Here is a 2,583-nt window from a genome sequence, read left to right as displayed (position 1 = left end):
TAATAAATGTACTCTTTACCCACATGTAATCATGTATCAAACATATATGAGGCTGGGTGTGATGGCTCACACCTTTAATCCCAGCACTTTGGGAGGCCTAGGCCAGGAGTTCAAGATCAGTCTGGTCAACATAGTGAGACCCTGTCTCTACAAAGAATTAAAACATTAGCCAGATATGGTGGCATATGCCTGTAGTCCCAGCTACTCAGGAGGCTGAAGCAGGAGGATTGCTTCAGCTCGACAGTTTGAGGTTCAAGGCTGTGACGAGCTAAGTAGGTGCCACTGCACTCCAGCCTCATAAAAGAACAAAAAACATATATGAATACCCGTCTTTTACTCTCTTAAAATCAGGTTGGATGGCTGTTTATAATACGTATGAACTCCTTCAAAAAATTACAGCATGCACATATGTATACTTAAAACATATACATACACGCACACCTCCCTACATTTAAATATCCTTTAAACAGTCAAAGAAACTCTTGGCAATATTTTATAACAACACAAGCGCATTAAGAAAAAACATACTGAAAGTTGCGTTTCTTTTTCTGTAAAATTTTGTTCTTGAATCTGAAAAGCAAAAATAATTTGTTTATTAAATATTTTTAGAAAATTGCACAATCTATTTGAAGGTCACCAAAACCAAATCATAACAATCTTCCTCAAATAAAATATAAAACAATGATTTAAAATGGAGATTTAAAAATATACTTAGAATAGATTTATTAAGAACCTCTTCGGCCGGGCCCGGTGGCTTACGCCTGTAATCCCAGCACTTTGGGAGACCGAGGCCGGCAGAACACGAGGTCAGGAGATCGAGATCATCCTGGCTACTAACACGGTGAAACCCCGTCTCTATTAAAAATACAAAAAATTAGCCGGGCGCGCCGGCGGGCGCCTGTAGTCCTCCAGCAACTCGGGAGGCTGAGGCGGCCGAGATCGCGCTACTGCACTCCAGCCTGGGCAACAGAGCGAGACTCCGTCTCAAAAACAAACAAACAAACAAACAAACAGAAAAAAACCTTTTCGTGGACGGCACATGTCTGAATCCAACCCAAGCAAAGGGGGTAAAAAAACTTTATAAACATTTACTCCTGTCCCCACTTCTCTAATGAACTGACCAGTGCCACTGAGCAAGGACAATTTCAGTTTAGTTGAATGACTCAAGACCCTTTCCCCCCATCAATTAAACTTGAACCACCAAATTTTATGAATGTCTAGTTTATGAGCCAGATATGGTGGTTTTATTGTTGATTTTATTTTATTATCTAGGCCGTCTATTAATATATAACATTACAAATATATTCTGAAATTAAAATGAGTAAATGAAAATAAAGAAATGATTAGATGGATTGATGAATGAATGGATAGACAGATAGATGGTTTGGATGGGGATGAAGTTTTAATTTTGCTAAATCTTCTGGATTCAGGGACTGTCTCTAGACAGGCTGTCAGATTTACTACTACAGATCAAAAGGTAAAGTTTAAAATTCTTTAACCGTGCCATCTATTTATCGATGCCTGCCTCAGTTTATCTTCTAAACTCCTTGTTTTTCCTCTGTGTTGGCTGGCTCATTCCTTCAAAAAAAATACTGAATCCTTACCATTTGGCAGGTATAAAGAAATTATCTTAATAGAATATTGAGAGACTGGTGTGTTTGAAGGGAAACTGAGAGATGATGTGCTTCTTTATCTGAAATAAGGCCTGCATGATTAGAAGGATCTTGTTAAGTGAATATTTGGAGGAAAAGCATTCCACACAGAGGCAATATCAAGTGTAAAGATGAGAAGTTTAAACATACCTGTCATTTGAGAAAAAGTAAGAAGGACAATGTTGCCATATCATAGTGAAAAGCAGTAAGAGTGGTGGGCAATATATTTGAAGAGGTAGGCAAGGGCTGGATCACAAAAAGCTTTATAGACTATGGCAAGGATTTTAAATTTTATGTTAAATGCCTTGGGAACACATTGGAGGATTACAAGCATAGAGTGATGTGATATGTCTATGTATTAAAAGAATCACTGTAATCTCTGGGAAAAGAATAGATGCTGTAAGAGTTAAAGTAGTCACAGTGAGACCAACCAGTTAAAAGACTCTTGAAGTAATTTTTCCCTGAGATAGTAAGCTTTTTACTATAGTTTCAAGAGTGGAGTAGAAGAGAAGTTGTTGGGTTTGGAATATATTGTGGAGATAGAGATATAAACATCATTGAAGGATGTTGAGTTTGAAGAAGGGAAAGGTTAACGATATGACATCCATTAGTTAATAGAACATAATAAGCACTCTCCTGCATAAAATAATGAATAATAGTAACTACCCTGTTTCCCAAAACATGTTGGTATGTAATAAACTGTAGAAGCATTTGATCTTTGATTAATTATATCCTTTGCACAAAGTACGGTGCTAGATCCTGGGAACACATGAATTCTGCCTTTATGTATTTTAGTTTAGATATATTAACAAATAATCATATAAAACATGTTGCATTTGATTTATGTCATACCTGCATTTAGCAGGAGTACTGAAACCAATCTTGAAGAAAGAGGGTTGTGGTCAGTCAGGCAATCCTTACGGAATGAGGT

The 2,583-nt window shown here is 37.2% G+C and overlaps 1 annotated feature.

Moving 5' to 3' along the window:
• Window positions 649-889: a silencer, noted in NCBI's record as "fragment chr5:51760029-51760269 (GRCh37/hg19 assembly coordinates)". NCBI's record gives its function as "represses an EF-1alpha promoter that drives an FKBP-Casp9 reporter gene in an ReSE screen in K562 erythroleukemia cells {active_cell/tissue: K562}" and the evidence as "EXISTENCE:reporter gene assay evidence [ECO:0000049][PMID:32094911]".

This window comes from Homo sapiens, chromosome 5, assembly GCF_000001405.40.
Source record: "Homo sapiens chromosome 5, GRCh38.p14 Primary Assembly".
Lineage (NCBI taxonomy): Eukaryota > Metazoa > Chordata > Mammalia > Primates > Hominidae > Homo > Homo sapiens.
This window is presented reverse-complemented; position numbering and strand designations above follow the sequence as displayed.